The 23,986-nt window shown below is 45.3% G+C and overlaps 1 protein-coding gene and 1 long non-coding RNA gene across 5 annotated transcripts in view, besides 2 other annotated features; one reads left to right on the forward strand and one right to left on the reverse strand.

Moving 5' to 3' along the window:
* Positions 2,180-2,474: a silencer, noted in NCBI's record as "tiled region #10771; HepG2 Repressive DNase matched - State 7:EnhWF, and K562 Repressive non-DNase unmatched - State 22:ReprW". NCBI's record gives its function as "represses a minimal TATA promoter and a strong SV40 promoter by Sharpr-MPRA in HepG2 and K562 cells {active_cell/tissue: HepG2 | K562}" and the evidence as "EXISTENCE:reporter gene assay evidence [ECO:0000049][PMID:27701403]".
* Positions 4,300-10,357, reverse strand: LOC105375036 (uncharacterized). 2 transcript variants are annotated; one of them, XR_007059564.1, is made up of 5 exons: positions 10,281-10,357; positions 9,042-9,178; positions 7,474-7,644; positions 6,076-6,136; positions 4,300-4,419 (listed from the first exon to the last, which is right to left on the reverse strand). It is a non-coding gene; the product is annotated as an uncharacterized LOC105375036 (long non-coding RNA). The 2 variants fall into 2 exon arrangements; XR_926757.3 differs by lacking the exon at positions 10,281-10,357 and having other exon boundaries at positions 9,042-9,268.
* PNPLA1 (patatin like domain 1, omega-hydroxyceramide transacylase) overlaps positions 5,516-23,986 on the forward strand; it is a 70,788-nt gene continuing 52,317 nt past the window's right edge. For all 3 annotated transcript variants that reach the window (XM_011514520.3, NM_001145716.2, NM_173676.2), the window contains exon 1: positions 5,516-5,609. The gene's annotated coding sequence lies outside the window, so the exon portion shown is untranslated. The remainder of the gene's footprint in view (positions 5,610-23,986) is intronic.
* Positions 8,128-8,177: a silencer, noted in NCBI's record as "silent region_17111". NCBI's record gives its function as "represses an Ori minimal core promoter by ATAC-STARR-seq in GM12878 lymphoblastoid cells {active_cell/tissue: GM12878}" and the evidence as "EXISTENCE:reporter gene assay evidence [ECO:0000049][PMID:35858748]".

Here is a 23,986-nt window from a genome sequence, read left to right on the forward strand (position 1 = left end):
CCACCAGCATCGGGAACGAAGATCACTCCACAGCAGATACAACATGCTTCCGAGGTCAGGACCAGTTAGTGGAGTAGTCAGGTCAGGAGCAGGAGGAACAGACCCCGAAGTTTGAGTATTTTCATATTTTAGATATAGTTTTACATACAGTAACTCTGGGACACAAATCTTAAGATTAATCTCTATGAGTGTTTATATGTGTACCCACCCATGAAATTGTGATCCAAATCAAAATACAGAATGTTTCCAGTGCCCTAGAAGGTTCCTCATGACCCTGTCCAGTCAGGACCCCTGCTGCAAGTGTAACTACCATCCAGACTTCCATTGCTGTGGGTTAGTGTTGCTTGTTCTTGGACTTCACATAAATGGAATGACACAGCTTGCGCTCTTTTGTGTCTGGCTTCTTTCATTTAACATTGTGGCTCTGAGCTCCACCCTGTTTTGCATGTAGCTATAGTTTGCTTTTTGTTGTTGCTGAGTAATATTCCATCATCCAAACACACCACAGTTTGGGTATCCATTCTCCTGCTGATGGGCACTGGGTTATTTCTAGTTTAGGGCTGTTATAAATAACACTGCTGTGAACATTCTTGTACATGTCATTTGATGGACATAAGTGCTTGTATGTCCCAGGAGTGGAATTGCTAGGTCACGGGGCAGATATATGTTTAGCTTTAGTGGATTCTGCCAGTTTCCCATTTGGTGTTCAATTTATATCCCCTCCTGTATGAGTCTGATCTTGCACAGCTCCCCACCTGTATTAGTCTGATCTCGCACAGCTATAAAGAAATACCTGAGACTTGGTAATTTATAAAGAAAAGAGGTTTAATTGGCTCACGGTTCTGCAGACTGTATAGGAAGCATGGCTGGGGAGGCCTCAGGAAACATAGAATCATGGCGGAAGGGGAAGGCGAAGCAGGCACATCTTACATGGCCAAAGCAGGAGGAAGGGAGCAAAGTGGGAGGTGCTACACACTTTAAAATAACCAGATCTGAGAACTCACTATCGTGAGAACAGTAAGGGGGAAATCTGCCCCCATGATCCAGTCACCTCCCACCCGGCCCCTCCTCTAACACTGGGAATTAAAATTCAATATGAGATTTGGGTGGGGACACATATCCAAGCCGTATCAGAGTATAGTTGCTTCACATCTGTGCCAACACACAGTACTGCTGGTCCATGATGTTTGCTCCAGACCTGCTTGTTGAATGACTTCCATTAAGCTCCACTGTGCAGCCAGGCTTCTGTTATCCTTTACAGCACTTTCTGGCTTTAGAGGGAGAATTATGAACTGCCAAGGTGCTTTTCAACTGGGGAACCCTGATTGAGAGGATGGTGAGGGGGGAGAGCTCCCTGGAGTGGATTTGCTGCTGATCCTGTCCTGGACTCCAGGGCATGTATGCACCTGGCTGTGCAGCCCAGGCCTCTCTTGGCACCCACTTCTGTACTATGGTGCCACCCAGATCCCTGCATGGGCTGTTTGGGAGATAGGGTCACACTGGGCAGTCCTTTTTAGTTCAGAGTAACACTACCTTTCCCACCTCATCCTCCTCATCACTGTCATTGGGCTCTGAGGGACCCACTTTTGCTCGAGGATTGCTTTTTTACTTTCTGTTTTTGTTTTCTTGAGATAGGGTCTCACTCTGTTGCCCAGGCTGGAGTGCAGTGGCTCGATCACAGCTCACTGCAATCTCTGCCTCCTGGGGCTCAAGCGATTCTCCCCCCTCAGCCTCCCAAATAGCTGGGACCATAGGTGTGTGCACCACCATGCCCGACTAGACTAATTTTGGTATTTTTTGTAGAGATGGGGTTTCGCCATGTTGCTCAGGCTGGTCACAAACTCCTGGGCTCAAGGGATCCGCTGGCCTTGGCTTCCCAAAGTGCTGGGATTATAGGCGTGAGCCACTGTGCCCGGTCTGAGGGACCCACTTTTGAATACAGACCCCAGCCTGTGTCCTGAGGTGTTATGGTTACCGGTGGGGCAGAAGGGACCCCTGCATATTGCACCCATTTTGTCCTTGTCCACTGGCTGTTGCCCAAAATTCTACCCTTAGTGCTTTATGCTTTTACCTCTCAAGGGCATGATACTTAGGGACTTGGCAGTGACCCTGGTTAGAGTGGGCCTGTTTTCCTTTAAATGACCGGTATCCCAGTGTGAACAAAGGATATGTGAGCAGGTTTTGATAAGGCAATACAGCAAGGACACTGAGTCCTTGAGGGGAAGGTTTAAAAGGAGATGAAAAGGGCCTACTTGCTGTTGGCTGACCTTGGTGCCACAGACGCACATTTCAGAGTCATCAAGGATGAAGGCTCAGAAGACTCTGAAGCAACTTCAAAGGAATCGCTTGGATCACAGGTGGGGTGAAGGTTGGAGATAAGAAGGCAGGGCCAGGGAAAGAGACCCAAGGGAGCCTCGTTTGGAAGCAAAGCTCTGGAAACAAAAGACTGCAGAGCCAGGGTCAACCTGGGCAACTGTTTGAAGCCAGCCCCGTCCTCAGGTGCAAGAAAGAGCATTCTCTGGGTCTAAGCCTGAGTTGTGCGCGGAGGACACAGGCTTTCCTGGGCAGGACTGCAGGCTTCTGGCTCCACTCGTGCCTGTGGCACACACAGGTTTTGATAGCCAGAGCCTGGCCAGTCCTCCTCTTTCTGCTCCCTGTCCCTCCTGGGACCAGGACTTGGCCTCTCCCCTCCACCCTCCCTTCTCTTCCTCCTTCCCTTCTTTGTCTCCTTCTCCTTAAATTTTGTGATTTTTAATTTCAATTGATTTATTGCCCCTCCTTGTCCCCAGCCTCCCAGTTCTCCTCCCCAGAGGAAACCAGTTTCACCAGTTGCATGTGTAAGTTTCCAGAGACACTTTAATCTATGCACATGAGTGATGTGTGTGTCCACTTTTTCTATACAAATGGTAGCATACTTTTTATAGTGTTCTAGGCCTCATTTAAAATTTTAAAATTAAATATTGAGTAGATACAAAAATAGTAGTTATAGAATATATATACATTTTAAAGACACCCACAATACAATAGACCAGTATGGGTACCCACGCCCTGTTTTAGACAAAGAAGCTGGGCTTTTGAAACCATGTGCCTCTCTCCAGCCCCACCCTCCTCTTCCCCTAAATACTATCATGAATTTTACGCTTATCCTGCCCTTTTTGTCTTTTTATAATCCTACTACTTGTTTATAATAGATTATGATAAATATACTATATTTTTATACTAAGATAAATGTAATAAACATTATATATAACAAGACATAAATATATATAATAATTGAATATGGTATACTACCTTTTTGGGATTATGAATAGAATAGTTTTCTATGGCTGGCTTTTGTCCCACCCATAATTATAGTTCTGAAGTTCAGTGTACTGATACGCATGTCCGGAGTTAGTTCATTTTCACTCTTGTATAGAATTCCATTGCATGGAGATAGTATGATTATTTTCATTGGACTATTTTATTTATTAATAATAATTATTATTGTTTTCTAATTTAATTTTATTTTTTGAGACAGGGTCTCATTCTGTTGCCCAGGCTGGAGTGCAGTGGTGCAATCATGGCTCACTGCAGCCTCAACCTCCAGGGCTCAAGAAACGATCCTCCTACCTCAGCCTCCCAATTAGCTGGGACTACAAGCATGAGCCATCACACCTGGCTAATTTTTAAAACTTCTTTTATAGAGACAAGGTCTCACTATGTTGCCCAGGCTGGTCTTGAACTCTCAACCTCAATAATCCTCCGGCCTCAGGCTCCCAAAGGGTGGCTCATGCCTGCTGGGATTACAGGCATGAGCCACTGTGCTTGGCCTCAGTGCTGGCCTCAGTTTTGGGGTTCTAGGAACAGAGCTGGTGCAAATGTTCTTAATTGTTTCTTTTGGTGTGTGTTGGGGGGAATGGCGGGGGTTGGGTAAGAACTTCTCCAGGGCATTTGCAAGGCCATTGGGAAAGTACATTGTCAACTTCAGTAGATAATGCCAAAATTTTAAAAAGTGGTTATAACCATTCGCACACCCACTAGTAGTTTGAGCATTCCCCTCACTCCACTTCTTCACCAACACCTGCAATTATCAGCTTTTTTTTTTTTGTAGATGGATCTGTGTGAAATTGTAACTCACTGTGGTTTTAGTTTTCATTTCCCTGGTTATGCATGCTGCCTTTTTTTTACTTAAAATATGTCTTGGTGACTGTTCCGTATCAGAGCAGTGAGGACTTCCTCCTCCTTTCTTGGCTGGAAAGTGTTCCATCGTCATATGGAAATCTTGTGGTCGATTTAACCCGTTCCCTATTGATAGACGCTGTGTGGGCTCCAGCCTTTTGCAGTCGACTCTGCGATGCATAACTTCGTGTATAGATAGCAGTCTGCAGCTGCACGTGGGGGTGTGTGCATGTAGGTTTTTCACAGGAACCTCCTGAAATGCTTAGAAGAAAAGGAAAGATAGTGTTTGCTCCCCCGGCCCTGTGCCTCCCTATTTTCAACAAATTCCCTTAATTCCATGAGTGCCCCAGGGTCAGAATGGTATCCACCCTGTCCTGTTTGCACCGTACCATCTCTTCTCTCAGATGATGATGTTCATCTCCCACCCGCTTCCCTTCGAGCCACCCCCACCTCATAGACTCCTCAGGAATTGTCTCTACCCGGCATCTCTCACTTTTTCTTTCTTTTTTCTTCCTTTCTCTCTTTCTCTTTCTTCCTTCCTTCCTTTCCTTCCTTCCTTCATTTCCTTCCCTTCCTTCCTTCCCTTTCTTTCTGTTTCTCTCTCTCTCTCCCCCTCCCTTCCTCCCTTCCTTTTCTTTCCTTCTTTCTTTCTTTCCTTTTTTTTTTTTTTTTTTGATCAGGGTTCTTGCTCTGTCACCCAGGCTGGAGGGCAGTGGTGCGATCATGGCTCACTGTAGCCTCAAACTCCTGGACTCAAGCGATCCTCTTGCCTCAGCCTGCCAAATAGCTAGGACTGCAGCTGCTCGCCGCCATACCCAGCTATATTTTTTGTAGAGACAGGGTCTCGCTATGTTGCCTTGGCTGGTCTCAAACTCCTAGGCTCAAGAAATCCTCCCCCCTCAGCTTCCCAAGTCACTGCCAGACATCTTTCTTATTGACATCCCCATCTCGAGAATCCAAGTTAGTATTAACTGAGGGATTAGACTTTGCCTTGCCCTGAAAGAGAGAAAAACAAACTGACCACCACTCTAGAGACTGTTTAGTCTCAAAAGTCGGCGCAGTAACACACACACACACACACACACACACACACAACCAACCAACCAAAAAAAAAACAGGTAAAGGCAGACAAATTCCAACCCATCCCCTATGTGCTGTGCCCTGGGCAAACCCTCTGACATCCTTCAGACTCAGCTTCTTCCTCTATGAAAAGGGACAATAACACTTACCTCTTGTGGGTGTGGGGCAGATGAGGGCCAATGTTAATAAACCACTCACATTCATGCACTCACTAATCAAAGCTTTCATTGTTATCAAGGATAATTCTAATTCAAGTAAGCTATGAAGATGGCATGACAGACACAAAATCAGCCAGGGGGAGCCCACATTGGAGGGCAGTCCACAATGGAAGGCTTCTTGGAGGAGGAGATGATTGAGCTGCTTCTACTAAGGTAGGCATCGTTTAGGCAAGTGGGAAAATGTTCATGAATGCATGGTGGGGGGTGGTGCGAAGATTCTTGAAGGAGAGATCTACAAAATCAGAAGCATGGAGAGTGAGGGAGGAAAGATTTGGACATGTTTGGGAACCAGTGTGTAACTGGGGAGAGATGTGGATTGTAAAGGGTGAGGGACCTACTGCCTGAGAGGTGGCAAGAGCTCCATCTTTGACAACTCAGTGGGCAAAACAAAGTCCTGGGGTGGGCCCAGGAATTGGCCCTGCACCAGAAATTCAGATGCGCACTTGTGTTTGAGAATTGCTATTTTCATCTGAGGAAGGAGGTGCAGCCTGGGATAAAGGGATGTGGGGTTCAGTAGAGCAGGACCCTACTACCAGAGAGCCCAGCAGTTAGTCTGCAGGGGGCTTTGCTCTGGGAGGAAGCATGGGGGCTGGTATCGCATTTGACTCAAGACACTCACCTCCCCCAACTCTGCTTTGATGTGGTATCCTGCAGGCATAGGGAGTGCCATGGACTGGTGCCTGGGGAATTGCATGGGAAAGGAAAAGATGAATTGCATGTGCCCTCCAGGAAGTTTGGAAGCTGGTCTGGAGAGTGTGAAGCCAGGGCTGGCTAAACATCTACAGCAACCATTTCTAGCTAAGAGCTTTAAACTCATTAGTCTCAATCTCCCAACAGTCCAGGTGGGTTGGAGGCATTATGTAATTGTCATGCCCCTTTCCTGCACAGATTGAGCCCCAGAGAGGTTGAGTAGCTTGGGCAAGGTCACACAGCTGGGAAGCAGTGGAGCTGGAATTCACAAGTCCGTCTGATTCTAGAGCCCATGCACAGCGTTTCTTTCTCTCCCTTCCTCTTCCACCTCCTTTTTCTCCTCCTCCTCCTTCCTCTCTCTCTCTCTTAGATAATTGCATTTACATGGTCTCAAAATCAAAGGGTACAAAAGGATATACAGTGATAATCCTCTTCCTACTATTTCCCAGTTTTCCTTCCTAGAGAAAAGTAAGGGTACTAGTTTCTTGCAACTAGCTTTAGAATATTCAATTCATATATAAATGAGTATATTCCATAGATATTCTTCCCCATTTTTTAGACAAAAAAAATGGTGGCATCCTATATGTACTGTTTGGCACTGAGGGTTTTGTTTTTTTTTTTAACTTAGTATTTCTTGATAGTCTTTCCCTGTCAGTTCATAAAAAGCCTTTCCTTATTCTGCTTTATTATCTGCATACTCAACTCATCCTCTATTTGGTGGATGTAGAGGGGGCTCCCGACCTTATGCAGTTACAACCCATTCTGTGTGAGCATCCCTGACCTCAGGTGCAGAAGGCATGAGCAGCACATCTGTCAGATAACACATCTGTCAGATGACACCCTAGAAGGGGAGATGCTGAACACACTTGGTGCCATTCGTTAGCTTCTCCTCAAATCTGCTCACAGACTTAACCATAACGATACTTCTTTCTTCTATAATCTGGCTGCTCCAGCATGTTCCTCTGACAGCACTTTCTCCCACAGACTCTGTTGCCAAACTTGGGTCTGCCCACCAGGTGCAGCAAAGCCAAGCACTGACATTGGGATTTGCAGCAAGAGAAAGTGAGGCATTTACTGCAGGGTGCCAAGCAAGGAGAATCGGGCAGCTCATGCTTAAGCCCCGAACTCCAGGGTGGCTCACAGGTAAGGGTTTTTAAAGGCAGGGAGGCAGAGGTTACAGGCAAAGTCATAAATCAATACATGGAAACTGTGCATTGGTTTGACCTAAAAGGGTGGGACATCTCGAAGCGGGGCCCGCAGGTCATAGGTGGATTCAAAGATCCTCTGATTTGTGATTGGTTAAGGAGGCAAAGCTTTGTCTAAAAACCTGGGGTCAGCAGAAAGGAATGTTGAGCTCTGGCCTGTGGGTGTGACTTCCTCCAGGCCCCTCAGGAAGAAATGTTGAACAAAGAATGGTGGTCTGAGTTCAGTCCTCGGCTCCCAACTGAAGTCTCTGTGCCAGTGGATGGCATTTTCCATTTGCTGGGGGCCTGGGTTTCTGAAAAACAACTCAGGAACATATATTAAGATGTTATCTTAAGTTTCAATAGGGAACCAAGTATTTTGTGACTCTAACTTCCTTGGCTATTTTTTTTGAAAAGCTATTATTTCCTTCTTGCTTATCATGTTGTTCATTTACTCTCAGGGCTAGCTAGGTGCCTGGAACTTCCCTTGAAAGAACTCAAGATGTTCCTTTATTTCTATGCCTGGCGAGGGAGTTATGCCTGGCAGGCCCTTAAACTCTGTCTCAACTCTGGCTATCAGGATGCTGGTCCTGCCTTCCAGGCACTGCTGCAGGGAGGGGTGGGTGGCTCTGCCCCTGTGCCCAGCACACAGTAGGTGAGTACTCAGCACAGGGGAGCTGCATCCGCTCTTCTGTGGCATTGTCATTTATCTTCAAGGAGCATTTCCTCATTCAGTCCTCACAACAGCCTTGTGGGTACCTGGCAGGAACCGTCATCCCCACGTTACAGGTAGGCAAACAGGGGCTCAGGGACATCCTGATTTGGCCTTGGCCTCATTGGCTGAGGAGGAAACCCAGGCTCCCTGACTCCCCGCACAGTTTCACTCCCCGCCCCCCGCCACACTGCCTCCCAGCGGCTGCTGAAATGCAATTAGCCAGGGAGGGACCTGCTTTTCAGCTTTATACTGTCTGTTATTCCACACACAGATATACGAATGGCACAGGGCCATCTCAGCCTGTTTTTGTTTGCCAACAAACATGAGAAAGATTAGGATATCTAGCCAACATTTTGTGAGTCCTCACAACACTGCAGGCAGGTCTCTGTGCACATACACGCTCATCTACTTCTCAGAAACAGAGGGGTGAGGGCTGGTATCACCCCTGCTGCACAGATGAGGGTAATGAGTAGCAGGGAGCAGAGCCAGGGTTTAAACAGATCCCACATTTTTGGATTTTTTTTTTTGACGAGGTCTTACTCTGTCACCCAGGCTGGAGTGCAGTGGTACAATCACAGTTCACTGCACCCTCCACCTCCCAGGTTCAAATGATTCTCCCATCTCAGCCTCCCAAGTAGTTGGGATTACAGGTGCGCCCACCACCACACCCAGCTAAATTTTGTATTTTTACATGTTGCCTGGCCATGTTGCCCAGGCCGATCTTGAACTCTTGAACTCAAGTGATCCGCCCACCTTGGCCTCCCAAAGTGCTGGAATTACAGGTGTGAGCCATGGTGCCCGGCCAGATCCCGTGTCCTTAACTCCTCCTATCAATCAATTACATTAGTTATATGATACTGATAACTTGTCATTATCAGTATAATTCAAGCCTCTGCTGAAATGGTGGCATCTACTTGGTATGATTTCAGAGACAACAGGAAGGTCCTTTATGCATAAGAAACTAGACGCTTTCCCACCCAGCTTCGAGTCACTCACAATTGCACAATTCGAGCTCCGTCCTTTTGCCACGGCTTTGAGCTCTGTTGAAACAAGATCCTCCCAGGTGTTTCTCAGTCTTCTAATGCTCAGGCCTGCTTTTCATGACATAAACAGCTCTGTCCCTTTCTGTAGTTCTAATTACAAAAACAAAAGGTTCTTCCCACACGTAAAATTACATAGTACTCTTAAATATGTCTTCTTGAACGCCATCGCCCCATCCCAGACTCAGGACCAGCCTCCCCGCGCTCACTGCTGTCACTGCTTTCCGCACTCCCTGCGGATTTTAGGATTTTAGCTCCCATCTCGCGTCCTCTCTCCAGCTCCTCCTGCCCCCTGCCTGGTGGTTTCACCATCCACTTACCAGCCCGCCGATGGTGCCCTGGCCTCCCAGTTCTTTGACCTCCTCTCCCCAGTGATCTTCCAGGGCTCGGCACTCAGTTTCCTGGTCAAGCTTGAGCCCTCCAGAGAAGCCACTGTCAAACCTCTTTCCGGCTCGTGCCTTGGAGCCATCGCCCCTCAGGGCCCCACAGACTACTGACCTCACCCGCTTTCAAATCCCTACTCCCTCCTTTCCCAGCCTAAATTCCAGGGTTAGTTATTCTAGTCCCTACCTTTTCTATACCCTTCCCTCCACACTCCAAGTTGGACTGTACTTGCTTGGCAAAACCCCAACCCAGTTAGATCCAGTTCTCCGCCAACTCTGCCTGCTCTACTGTGTGTCTTACTTGCTTATTTTATTACCTCTGACTCCCTCCACCAGCATGTTGACCCCACGGGGACAGGGGCTATGTCCCTGCTGCTCTGCCCTAGCAGCCAAAGAATATCTGGTACATAGTAAGTGCATATTCATTAAAGTGTATAGTCGATGAATGAATTTTTCTAGGTGTGGAGAAAGATCTGAGAGCAGGTTTACCATAGTATCTGGGGAAAAAGCAGAGGGGGGACGTTGTGTTGTGTCCAAGGGGGCTAGAGGAGGGTCAAGGAGGAAGGCATAAGGAGGCCAAGCCCAGGGGCTCCTCCAGTTTGCCCAGAGAATGCCACCATTCTTTCCTAATTAGCTCCTTTTGGTCTGGGAGAAGCTCTTAGAAGAGTATTTCATTCTCGAGCCCTAATCACAGGATTCTGAACCCTTACTAAACTGTTGCTTCCTGCAGTCTTGGTTACTCAGGGCTCCCGAGCCAACGTTTGGATGGCTGTGATTATCTGGGATGTCTCAGGAATGACCTAACCACTTACCTCTTCCAAGTTCTGAATTTTACAACAGGAAATTGAGGCCCAGAGAACAGAAGGACACATGGGTGCTGCTGGTAGAGCCCGAACTGGAACCCAGATCTGCCTCCAGTCCCGGGCTCATCTGCCACCGTGTACCATGCCCTCTCTCTGTTGTCACATGCAGTCACTTGCCCGATTGTCCACACCCTTAAAAGAAGCAGAGAAAATGTTTGGTGTAATCCACACCGAACACTCAGATGAACAATGCTGTGGGAGGAAGGGAGGTGATTTAAAAAAATAATAATAAAATAAAAGAAAAATGCAGTGGAGAACAGATATAAGGATTCGACAAGGCTCTGGTGAACCTGCAAAACTTGCTTCCTGAGCGACAGGACAGTTCTCAGGGCCCTGCATGTAGCACCTCATCTACTCCTCCAACAGCCCTCTGAGGGAGGCTCTGTTATTATTACTTCTATTTTATTGAGACACAAGGAAATTGCGTAACCACACACATTATTAGGAAGTGACACAGCCTAAATTCAAACACTGCTTCACTCGGGCTCGTGCTTATAACCTTACCTAGGTGTCTTAAATGCCACACCAAAATAACTTCTCATTTTTTTTTTTTTTTGAGACGGAGTCTTGCTCTGTCGCCCAGGCTGGAGTGCAGTGGCACGATCTCGGCTCACTGCAAGTGCCTCCTGGATTCAAGCAATTCTCCTATCTCAGCCTCCTGAGTAGCTGGGATTACAGGCACATGCCACCATGCCCAGCTAATTTTTGTACTTTTAGCAGAGACAAGGTTTCACCATGTTGGCCAGGCTGGTCTTGAACTCTTGATCTCAGGTGATCCGCCCACGTCAGCCTCCCAAAGTGCTGAGATTACAGGTGTGAGCCACTGAACCTGGCCAACTTTTCAATTTAAGCAAACGTCCCCCCACCAAAAGATTGAGTCCTATTGAGAAGAACTTCATCTTCTGAAAAAGGGGGGGTGTGGGCAAGGTCGGCACTGCTTGTTGCACTGGATGCTGGCTGCATATCTGCCCTAGAGAGGCCCAATGGGGAAGGTGCAGAGGCCAGGGGAGAGGTAACTTGCTCTTACAGAGTCCCACTTCATGCCAGGTGTTTCTGTCCATTAGTGCTGCTTAGTTTTTGCTAGGGGCCTAGTCATGGGATCCCACAGCTAGGAGGTGGTATAACCTGCATACTTTCTCCTCCTAGAGACTTCCCAAGGCTTGTGTTACACAGGACATGAGTAAACATTACTAGTAAGGCATTTCTGGGTCATGAGCTTGGGGTTGGAAGTCATCTCGGTACATCCCAGCTGAGGCTCTGACCTTACATTCTTCCTTTTATTTCCTGAGAACTAAAAAATATTATACACACTGGAGTTTCCATTGAGATGAATAAAAGAGTTGGAACCAGCTTATCATCAGGTTTTGACTCCAAAAAAGGAAACAGCTTGTTCTAATTTGCCAAACCTTAAGTCAAATACAGTTCTATTTTTGACCGAATTGTCCACAGGATTCCAAATTTGACATTTTGTCTTTTTAAAGATGAGTGAACTGATGTGGAGTTTCTAAACAGAGGATGCCCAGTGTGGCAGAAAATAAAACAATGGCCTGGGTGTTGGGACTCGTAGGTTTTGGGCCTGGCTCTGACTTAGGGTTGTGGTGTGACTTGGAGCAGGTCACCAGCCATCTCTGGACCTCAGCTTCAGCACCACGTAAGTGAAGGATTTGTGTATGATGAGCTCTAGGCTCCCCTGAGATCTAACTAACGTTCTAGGATAGGGACATGGGCTCTGGACTCAGACCATGAGAGTTTACATCCCTGTTTCATCACTTACTAGCTGGTAAGTGAACAAGTTGGACAAGTTGCTTAACTACTCTGAGATCCAATTTCTTCATATGTAAAACAGAGATTGATATTACCTCTGTCCTAAGGTTGCAAAGATAGAAGAAGAAAATTCATATAACTTGCTTAGCACAGAGTTCCGGATGAACAGAAAACGTGGTCAATAGTGGTTAGTTATTGCAATGATGAGGGTTCTTTATATGCTACTACAAATAAAGGAAGAACCAGACCATAAAAATCTGAGCCTCCACTAATAAATATTTATTAAGCACATACTCCTCATTTGCAGTGAACGCTTTCGGTTGGCTACCCAAACCATTCCCAGCCCCTTCCTTGTCATCTCCAACCACAGAGATCGGAAATCCAGATATTCTCTTTCCTGGCCTTGTTCTGCCATGTGATCATGCTTTGGCTGTGAGATGCGAGCTACTGGGTGGCTTCTGGGAGGCCTTTTGTTCCCGGCTAAAGCAACAGTCCCAAGAGAAGAGCCCCCTGTGGTCCCTTCTGCTTCTCTCACCTTAAATATGAATACTGTATGTTATTTGGAGATGTGGCAGCAGTCCTGTGATCATGAGGCACAGTCACAGGAAGGAAAGCCCAAAAGCTGAGAATATCATGGTGTAAGGCTGGAAAGAGCCTAGGTGCTGGGTGACATTGCTGAGCAGAGAAACCAACCCCAGCAGTTATTGGGTGTTAGATTTTTTGCTCTGTGAAAATACCACCACCACCCATGCTTGTTTAAGCCAATGATAGTTGGGCATCTTATTCCTTGTAGCTGAGTTCATCCTGTCTCATACATCATTCAACAAATATTTATTGAGTGTCTACTAGTGCTAGGCACCATTCTAGGTATTAGGGTCATAAGAAGAGATAACCGTCTTTAAGGTTTTATAGTCTACTCAGGGAGACAGGCAAGTTGGTGTTTTAATGCAATAGAAATGTAAGAGGTAGGCTGGGTGTGGTGGCTCACACTCTGTTGCCAGGCTAGAGTGCAGTGGCGTGATCCTGGCTCACTGCAACCTCTGACTCCCCGGTTCAAGTGATTCTCCTGCCTCAGCCTCCCAAGTAGCTAGGATTACAGGCATACGCCACCACGTCCAGCTAATTTTTGTATTTTTAGTAGAGCCGGGGTTTCACCATGTTGGCCAGGATGGTCTCGATCTCCTGACCTCGTGATCCACCTGCCTCGGCCTCCCAAAGTGCTGGGATTACAGGTGTGAGCCACAGCGCCCGGCCTGTAAAGGCTTTCAGAACACATACTTCGTTTTGCTCACCAATGCATCTCCAGCAAGGAGAGAAGGCAAAGGGGCCGTTTCTAGTAAGGTAGGGAACCAACAGTTCTGCCTCAAATTTCCTCATCTTGGGTCTCCCCACCCCCTCACTTCATTCCTGATACTGCCACTATTCATTCACTCATTTAACTAACTATTCATTCATTGCATTAGTCAGCTTTGGCTAGATCTTTTTGTGTTTTTGGAGACAGGCTCTTTCTCTGTCATCCAGGCTGGAGTACAGTGATGCCATCATAGCTCACTGCAACCTAGAACTCCTGGGCTGCTGGGTTTGGTTTCTCTGCTTAGCAATGTCATAATAGATGCTTAATAAATATGTGTTGAGTGTGGTAACTGTTACTTCTGTTCATCCTGCACAAAGGATGATTGCTCTTCTATGCCCTTCTGAAGTTAGGTGTAGCTATGTGACTTGCTTTAACCAGTAAGATGTGAGCAGGAATGATGCATGTCAAGTTCAGGTGGAAGCATTTCAGAGCTGGCACAGATCTCTTTTTCTCTTCCCCCTGCTGCCAGTGAAGGTTCAGTTGATACCATGGCCAAATATGTAAACTTGTTATTCCAAGCTACTGGTAGTTCAAGATTGTTTGTTACCACAACATAACCAGGGAGTGGCTCACACCTGTAAATCCCAGCATCTTGGGAGGCAGAGGTGGGAGGACTGCTTGAGGCCAGGAGTTCGAAACCAACCTGGGCAACATAGTGAGAGACCCGTCTCTACAAAAAAAAATTTTTTTTTAATTAGCCAGGTGAGGTGGTGCAAGTCTGTAGTCCTAGCTACATGGGAGGCTGAGACAGGAGGATTGCTTGGGCCCAGGAATTCTAGGTTACAGTGAGCTATGATGGCACCACTGTACTTCAGCCTGGATGACAGAGCAAGACCCTGTCTCCAAAAAAACAAAAAGACCTAGCCAAAACTGACTAATGCAATGAATGAACGATTAGTTAAATCAATGAATGAATAGCGGCAGTGTCAGGAATGAAGCAAAGGGGTGGGGAGACCCCAGGTAAGGAAGTTTGAGGCAGAACTGTCAGCTCCCTATCCTAATAGAAACTGCCCCTTGCCTTCTCTCCTTCCTCCAGGCAGAGACTGCATCACTGTAGAGATGGAAAATGCCAAACAAGGGCTTTCCCAGCCTCCCCTGCAGCTCAGGCATGGACACATGACCCAGTTCCAGCTGGCAGATCCTGAGGACTTTCTGGAGGGCTTTCTAGAAAGGGTTTTTTTCTCCCCAGTAAAACTAGTCTTGTCATGTAATCCACTGCACATTGAGTTTTCTGTAACTTGCAGCCCAGAGCAGCCTAACAGAGACAGCATGGATTGCTGCAGTAACGCAGCAAGGAGATGAGGCAGCCCTGAGCGCAGACCTTCACGGAGGGGACAGAGAGGCGGGGATGGAGTAAGGAAGCCAGGAAGTGGAATCAGTAGGACTTGGTGAGCGACTGGGTTCAGGGGTTGGGCTGTGTGTGTACATGGCAAAAGGGGTCAAAAAAAAAAAAAAAAACCCAGGCACTGATGTCAGGGAGCCCAAGGGAAGACACAGGTACTTAATGAAGACACCCACTCCACAAGACAGTCTATCTGAGGACCAAAGTGTGCTGTCGGAGTTGTGAAAGGAGGGCTGAGGACTCAGGGGAAGCCTCGTGGAGAGGACAGGACATGAAGCATGGCTGAGCTTCAGATCTGAGTGGATAGAAGAGACGGTAATGTCTAGGCAGGCCCTTCCTGGTATTATCTTAGACCAAATGTTACAGCTAGCACTTCACAAAAAATCTTTGCCTTGCAATTTTCATTTTTAACTTTGTTTCAACCATTTTCATCTGTTGGACGAAAGGCAATAGAGGGCCGGGCGTGGTGGCTCACGCCTGTAATTCCAGCACTTTTGGCGGCCAAGGCTGGCGGATTGCCTGAGCTCAGGGGTTCGAAACCAGCCTGGGCAACACATGAAACCCCATCTCTACCAAAATACAAAAAATTAGCCGAGCGTGGTGGCATGCACCTGTAGTCCCAGCTACTCGGGAGGCTGAGGCAGGATAATTGCTTGAACCCGGGAGGCGGAGGTTGCAGTGAGCTGAGATTGGGCCACTGCACTCCAGCCTAGAAGACAGAGCGAGACGCTGTCTTCATAAACAAATAAATAAAGGCAATAGAGGGGAAGTCTAGTTCAATACCAAATATACTATGAATGTCAACATCATTTAAAATATGGCTACTCAACATAGCATTGGGTGGATACACTGTAGATCATTTTACTACTCCCTTACTCTGCAATGTAGCTTTACAATGCTTGAGTAGTTAAAATAATGCGGTGAGCTCTTTTGTTTAGAGGTAGGTTATTTCCTTAGAATATATTTCCACAAATGGGTTAACTAAGTCAAATATCGAAAACAGTGAGTCTCATCTAAGACACAACTGTTATAATTCTTGATAATTTTTTTTTAAAGACAGAGTCTTGCTCTGTCACAGACTAGATGCAGTGGTGTGATCATAGCTTACTGTAGCCTCAAACTGCTGGGCTGAAGTGATCCTCCTGCCTTAGCCTCCCAAGTGGCTGGGACTACAGGAATGCATCACTACACCCAACTAATTTTTTAAAAAATTTTAGTAGAGACTGGGTCTCGATATTTTGCCCAGGCTGGTCTCAAACTCCTGGCCTCAAATGATCCTCCTGCCTCGGCTTCCCAAAGTGCTGGGATTACAGATGTGAGTCACTGCTCCTGGCCAGAGTTCTCGATAAATAGCAAATTACCTTTCAGAATGGTTCTATCATTGCACATGAGAATTTTGTTCAACATTTAAAGTGCAAGACTGGCTCACCTGAACCAGGAAGAAGTTAACGTGTCTTTCGGCTGTATTCTCCCCGTGTGAGCTTAGCCCTCAGCACTGTCCTCATCTTAGATTCCTTACAGTCAGGGTATGCTGCTCCCATTCCGAGGTCATATGGTCTGACTACAGAGCTAAAGTTGTAGCTACTGTTAACTGAGCTAGAAAGCAATATGTTTTCTCACCTTTAAAAAAAACAAAATTGCAACCCTTTATTAAACAGCTAAACAACCATTAAATAGCCAAGTAAAGAATGCATCATCAATTGTTTTTACAAATAAACCTTTAAATAATGCTTAAATTTCTTAAAAACTAATTGCTTCTGTTCTTTTCTGACTAATCATGAATTCTTTTCAATCACATCCTAATCCCATCCTGGTCTTGGTTCCCTAATTGATTAGATTGGGCCATCCTAGGAAGGGTGGGTGGCTCACAACTGTAATCCCAACATTTTGGGAGACTGAGGTGGGAGGATTGCCTGAACCCAGGAGCTTGAGACTAGCCTGGGCAACATAGTGAGACCCTATCTCAACAGAAAATTTAAAATATTAGCCAGGCGTGGTGGGGTGCACCTGTAGTCCCAGCTATGCTGGAGGCTGAGGCAGAGGATCACTTGAGCCCATGAGTTCAAGGTTGCAGTGAACTATGATCACAGTACTGCATTCCAGCATAGGCGACGGAGGAAAACCCTGTCTCAAACAAACAAAAAAAAAAACAAAAAACAGAAAAAGAAAAGAATGGGCCATCTTAACTGGAGTGGAGTTTAAAAGTCCTTGCAGGCTGCTGTAGGGATGGACCTGGCTTTCTCAACCAGGAATTTGTTATTGTGGCCATTGGGTCTACTTAACTCTGAGCCTTGGATTCAGGCCCCTCTCAGGGGCTGAGACCTCTCTGGGCCATTGGTAGACAGACAGAAGTGGCTGCTTGTGTGACCTGGATTATCATTTCTCTCCTTCTGGGGCACAGGATAGCCCTGGGCATTGAGAGAGGAGCAAGATCCAAGTAGAGACTGCAAAAGGATGTTCAAAGGGAGGGCAGGGGCTTGCCTCCGAGTTTAATTGGGCATCAAATGCCTGCATCATTGAAAACAATGACCTAGTGCCCGGACAATGAATTGCAACTTCTTTCCCAACTATGCAACTGATCATAACTTAACATAATCTGTCACTTTACTTTGCTGAATCTTATTTCCTCTTCTATAAACAGAGGTTTTAAAAAAATCTAATGCCCGTAATCCCAGCACTTTGGGAGGCTGAGGCAGGTGGATCACTTGAGGTCAGGAGTTCGAGACCAGCCTGACCAACATGGTGAAATCCCTTCTCTACTAAAAAAAAATACAAAATTGGCCAGGTGCAGTAGCTCACGCCTGTAATCCCAGCACTTTGGGAGGCCGAGGTGAGTGGATCACCTGAGGTTGGGAGTTCGAGACCAGCCTGACCAACATGGAAAAACCCCGTCTCTACTAAAAATACAAAAATTAGCTGGGCATGGTGGCGCATGCCTGTAATCCCAACTACTTGGGAGGCCGAGGCAGGAGAATTGCTTGAACCCGGGAGGCAGAGGTTGCAGTGAGCCGAGATCATGCCATTGCACTCCAGCCTGGGCAACAAGAGTGAAACTCTGTTTCAAAAAACAAAACAAAACAAAACAAAAACGAAATTGGCCAGGTGTGGTGGCACATGCCTCTAATCCCAGCTACTTGGGAGGCTGAGGCAGGAGAATCACTTGAACCCAGGAGGCAGAGGTTGCAGTGAGCCAAGATTGTGCCACTGCACTCCAGCCTGAGCAACAAGAGTGAAACTCCGTCTAAAAAAAAAAAAAAATCTAACTGACAGCATTGCTGTGAAAGCCAAATGAGATGATTCTGTGAAGGTCTCTGAAATAGCAGGCTAAGAAATTATTTGTAGTAGTTTTTTCTTTAATAACAATGCCGCTAACATCTCTATTGCAGTTTATAGTTTACAGGAGTCCTTCTCAAACTCTAACATGCATCTGAAACACTGAGGGGTCTTGCTGAAATGCAGATCTTAGATTCAGTAGGTCTGGGCTTGGGCTGAGATGTTGCTGTTCACATACCACACTTTGAGTACCAAGAGTTTCCAGTAATTTGCAAACATGAAAATTTCTAACGGTAGGTTCCTAGCAGACTTCCAGTCACCAGTTGTTTGTGTGTCTCACTTGTTATATGGTCAAAATAGCCCGGGCCTTTAATATCCTACAGGTGATATAATTGAATGATGCAGATTTTTAAGGCAGAAACTAGGATCTACACAAGATTTTCCTAAGTGTGCTTGATATGTCAATAGATGTTACTTTAAAAAGATGTGGTCAGTCAGGCATGGTGGCTCACGCCTGTAATCCTAGCACTTTGAGAGGCCAAAGCAGGAGAATCCCTTGAACCCAGGAGTTTGAAACCAGCCTGGGCAACATAGGAAGAACCTGTCTTAGAAAAAAAAAAAATGTAGTCACATACATTTACTGAAACTTGGGTTAAACAAATTAAGCCAAAATCTTTACTTCAGAGTGTTATCACTTATGATGCTCTAAGAAATTATCCCCCATATATATATATTTATTTATTTATTTTCGAGATGGAGTTTTGCTCTGTCTCCAGGCTAGAGTGCATTGGTGTGATCTCGGCTCACTGCAACCTCCACCTCCTGGGTTCAAACAATTCTTCTACCTCAGCCTCCCAAGTAGCTGGGACTACAGGCACGTGCCACCATGCCTGGCTAATTTTTGTATTTTTAGTGGAGACGGGGTTTCACCATGTTAGCCAGGATGGTCTCGACCTCTTGACCTCGTGATCCACCCGCCTCAGGCTCTTAAAGTGCTGGGATTACAGGTGTGAGCCACTGCGCCTGGCCTACTCCCCACATTTCTGAGGTTTGAGAATTTTGTCTGAAATAAACAGACAGTAGACAGATTAATAGGAGAAAAAGCATACCAATTTATTAACATGCAAATGAATGGGAGTCCCACAAAGCTTGAAACTCAAAGAAGGGCAAGATGATTAAAGCTTAAATACCCTCTTCATAGGGGAGAGGAAGTGGGGGGATATAGGCAACTTTAGAAGAAGAGTAAATGATTTTTAGGGGAGATTAACGGTTCTGAAGAACAGACAATAGCCTGGGACAAATTTTGCCTGGGATCTGGGTGTGGTGTCAACTCTAGTCTTCCTTTTTGCAATATGCATCAGTTTCCTCCAGTAGGTGAAATATGTGGGGAGGGGATTCACAACAATTTAATATCTTCCAGAGAAGCTTCTGGGTGGAGAACTTCAGAGAAAACCCTTCCCTGCATTTGCTGCTCCCCAGGTACTCTCAGTTTGAAGTCCAAAACAGCATATTTTAGGGTATCATTTTCTGAGCCCCAACAACGCTTTCTTTCTCATGTTAGTAACATAAAATCCAAACAGAAATTGCTTAAATAAGGATATTTTATTTTTCTCCCAGTACAAGACATTTGGCATCAGGGAAATTCTAATTAGTCCAGCGGCTCAGAGACATGATTAAAGACCCACATTCCTTCTGTCTTCTTGCTCTGCCATAGATGGCACAGCACATAGGCCTTGTCCTCAGGATGGCTATCCTTATGACCAGAAGTTGACTGTGGCAAAATAAACATCACATCCTGATGATGGCCAAAGGCAAAAAAATGGGTTATTGCTTGTTTGTCTTTTTCTTTCAGATGTTGTATTTTTCAGTGCTAGAATTCCCACTGAGGTCTTTTTACAGTTTTTGTTTATCTGCTGAGGTTTCCCTTCTTTTCATTCATTATGAGCATATTCTCATTTACATTCTTGAAAATGGTTATAATAGCTGCTTTAAAATTCTTGTCTGTTAGTTTTTACATCTGAGTTGTCTCAAGGTTGGTCTCCATTGATTCCTTTTTCTCTTTTGTATGGGTCACATTTTCCTGCTTCTAATGTCAAGCATCTTTGAACTGTCTCCTGAATATTGCGAGTGTACAGTGTAGGAACTCTGGATTTCTTTTGTTCTTCTGAAAAGTATTACTGTTTGTGTTTATTTGTTTTAGCTAGCCGTTAAATTGGCCGAACTCTCAAACTGAAAATGCTCTTCCCTCTGATGAATAGGAGCTGAAATCTTTATTTTATTTTTATTTTTGTAGAGATGAGGTTTTGCTACATTGCCCAGGCTGGTCTAGAACTCCTGGTATCAAGCAATCCTCCCGCCTCAGCCTCCCAAACTGCCTGGATTACAGGTGTGAGCCACTGCATCTGGCTGGGAGCTGAAATCTTAGTTTAGATAATTTAGCCTTAGCCATGCAGCTTGGAGTCTGTCCTGCACATGTGGGGTTCAGAGATTTGAGCAGAGTCTATACACAGAATTTGAGGCTACTCATTTATGGCTTCTTCTCCTTTCCAGGATTTCCTTCCTCACTTTCCAGCTGTGTAGTCACCAGAGCTCTGTCCTCTGGTTTTTCACGCCAGTACAAGCGTGAGCTTTACATCCTAGTTTTAACCACCCCACACATCCCTGACTAGGGGCTTCCCTCAGCAAACAAACTACAAAAAATTTTTTAAAAAATCCATTGCTATTCCCTTCTTCCAAGTATTGTCTCCCCTCCAATATCCATGCCTTTTGATCACTCTCCAGAGTTTTCATAGTTGTTTTTTATAATTTTGTCATGTGGGAGGTTTGTGGTCCTATGGGAGGTACTCAGCCACTACTGAATGCAAAATTTTTGTTAGTGTCTTTTTAAAGAGCAAAGACATCTTTCTCAGAATTCCCCAGCAGGTTTATTCTCTATCTTATGGACCAGAATTGTTTTCATCTGCTCTTTCTTAAACTCCTTTGTTCTGGGGTCTTCTTGTCCTGAAGGGCTTGGCTGCCCTGAAGAAGGTAAACAGAATTAGGATTTGTTTAGTCAGGAAGAAAGGGACCAGAATCCAATAAAACTTGCTACACAGAACTTTTCAGTGCCTTTAATATGAAGGTTTGCATTGTCGCTCTCCAAGTGCTTATCCCAATCTCACCTGCAATATTCCTTAAATGTATTTATTTGATTTAGAAGTCCTTTATCCACAGAGATTTGTCAGGACTGGTCTGAATTTCTGGAAGCAGCAGGGTTTCAAGGCCACCCTTTGGTCACAATGCTCAGTGTGCTGCCCCACTATGGCAGTCTGGCCAGCAGGTTCTGGGTTGTATCACCATTTCCAACTCATCATTGTGTTGTGAACCACAGCAATGGTTCAGACCAAAACTTGAGGTCTGAACCAATTGCTGGAACAGACCCTCCTAGTGACCAAGGGAGTATTATCTCAGTTTTGCACAACCTGTTCCTAGAAGGTGGATTTCTCATGAAAAATCCAAAGACAAAGGGTCTTTCCTTGGAACCACAGCTAAATTTAGGGCTCAGGGCTTTGTCAGTTATATTTAAGCTAAACTAAGCTGAGGAGTTGGTGACTTTCATGGGGTTATTGCTTTGCAGGTTATCTGGGGAACTCCTCCAAAACCATCGATTATCTGCTGCAAGCAGTTAAAACTGTGTTTAAAGAAAAAAAATACTGAAAAGGTGAAGTAAATATACTAGTAAAGACTATTTTGAAAAAGAAAGATCCCCGCAATCCCACCACACAATGGTTTTCACTGTACAGTCCCTCTCCACACACCCACATTTTTATGTACTGTATCTCCTTGATTATAAAATACTATCAGTTTCAAGATCCAACATCGATTTAGTAAAAGCTTTTCAGGAGAAAAAAAAAACACTGTGAGAACCTAATAAGAATGAACATTAATACTATACAGCCATAAAAAAGAATGAAATCATCCTTTGCAGCAACATGGATGTTGCCAGAGGCCATTATCCTACACAAATTAACTCAGGAACAGAAAACCAGATACCGCATGTTCTCACTTATAAGTGGGAGCTAAACAGTGGGTACTCAAGCACATAAAGATGCAACAGTAGACACTGGGATCTACTAGGGAGGGAGGGAGGAGGGCAAGAGTTCAAAAACTATTGAGTACTATGCTTAGTACCTGGGTGACAGGATCAGTTGTACCCCAAACCTCAGCATCACAAAATGTACCCAGGTAACAAATCTGCATATGTACTACCTAAATCTAAAATAAAAGTTGAAATTTTTTTTTTAAGAAATGAAAGACCATTGAGGCCAGGCTCATACCTATAATCCCAGCACTTTGGGAGGCTGAGGAGGGAGGATCACTTGAGGCCAGGAGTTTGAGACCAGCCTGGGCAACACAGTGAGACCCCATCTCTACAAAAAATTAAAAATAAGCAGGTGTTGTGTTGTGTGCCTGTAGTCCTAGCTACTAGGAGGCTGAAGCAGGAGGATTGCTTGAGCCCAAGAGTTTAAGGCTGCAGTGAGCTATGACACATCACTGCACTCCAGCCTGGGTGACAGAGTATGACCCTGTCCCTAAAATATAAAAATAAGGATAAAAAATAAAATGGCAATTGATGGTGAGATACATCTTAATATCAGAAACCTTACAACTTGGGGGGAAAATATATGCCTTAGGATTGAGAAATATATGGAAAAAGTATATTTATTTTACTTTTACTTTGCTATGTATAAGAAAGTGTTTTAAATTATTTAAATTTTGAATCAGAAACACATTCACATGGTTCAACATTCAGAAGGTGCAAAAGTATTGTCAGGGACAGGTTTCCCTACTTTCCATCTCTTGGTCCCCTCCCCAGAGGCCACCGATGTTTTCAGTCTCTTGTGTCTCATTCAGAGGTAGTTTATCCTTATATCTGCAAGTGAAGTCTTATGTTCTTTGCCCCCTTTTTTACACAAATGGTAGCATATTATACACCCTCTTCTGAACCTCATTTTGTACTTAAAATATCATACAGATGAATCCACATCAGGTCTGTTTCGATTATTTTTATTTATTTTGTTTTTCTAAGATTACATCACAAGCATTTATCTATCTTTCCATATGATTTTTTTCTGGGGCAGGGAGGAGGGTGCGGGCTCTGTCACCCAGCCTGGAGTGCATGCAGTGGTGCCATCACAGCACACTGCAGCCTTGACCTCCCAGGCTCAAGCAATCCTCCTGCCTCAGCCTCCCAAGTAGCTGGGACCACAGGCATGCACCACCACACCCGGCTAATATTTTGTGTGTGCGTTTTGTAGAGATGAGGTTTTGCCATGTCCCCCAGGCTGGCTTTGAACGGCTGGGCTCAAGCAATCCTCCCTCCTTGGCTTCCCAAAGTGCTGGGATTTCAGGCATGAGCCACCAAGCTTGGCCACGACCATTTTCATGATCATTTTTAATGATTGTTCAGTTTTGTGAGGTGACTAGACCACAATTTAATAACAAATCCCTGTTGTTGGACACTTAGGTTGTTTCCAGTGTTTTGCTATGATAGAGAGCACTTGCAATGACCATCACTAATTCAACAGATATTTTTCTGACCACCATGAATGGCAATCCTCCTGTGTACCGAAGTGTCTTCCCCTAAGGGGCTTACAGTCAAACAGCAGGAACAGCCAGGGAAGTAAATAAGGCACAGAAGTGCTCCCATCCCCTAAAGAGCCTCTGAGGACAGTCTGGGCTCCCACATGAGGAAAAGGGAGGAGGAAAGTGTTGATGGGTTTACCTACGTATTCAGGTCAATGTAAATTAACAAGTTAGGTTACAATTCATTCATCAGGCTTGTGAGTTTGGTGAACGTGTGTTCACCTCAGACGTGGTTCCAATCTTCGTGCACTGACCATATCACAGTCTTAGGGCCCAGCTGTGCTGAACTTACAAAAG

This window comes from Homo sapiens, chromosome 6, assembly GCF_000001405.40.
Source record: "Homo sapiens chromosome 6, GRCh38.p14 Primary Assembly".
Lineage (NCBI taxonomy): Eukaryota > Metazoa > Chordata > Mammalia > Primates > Hominidae > Homo > Homo sapiens.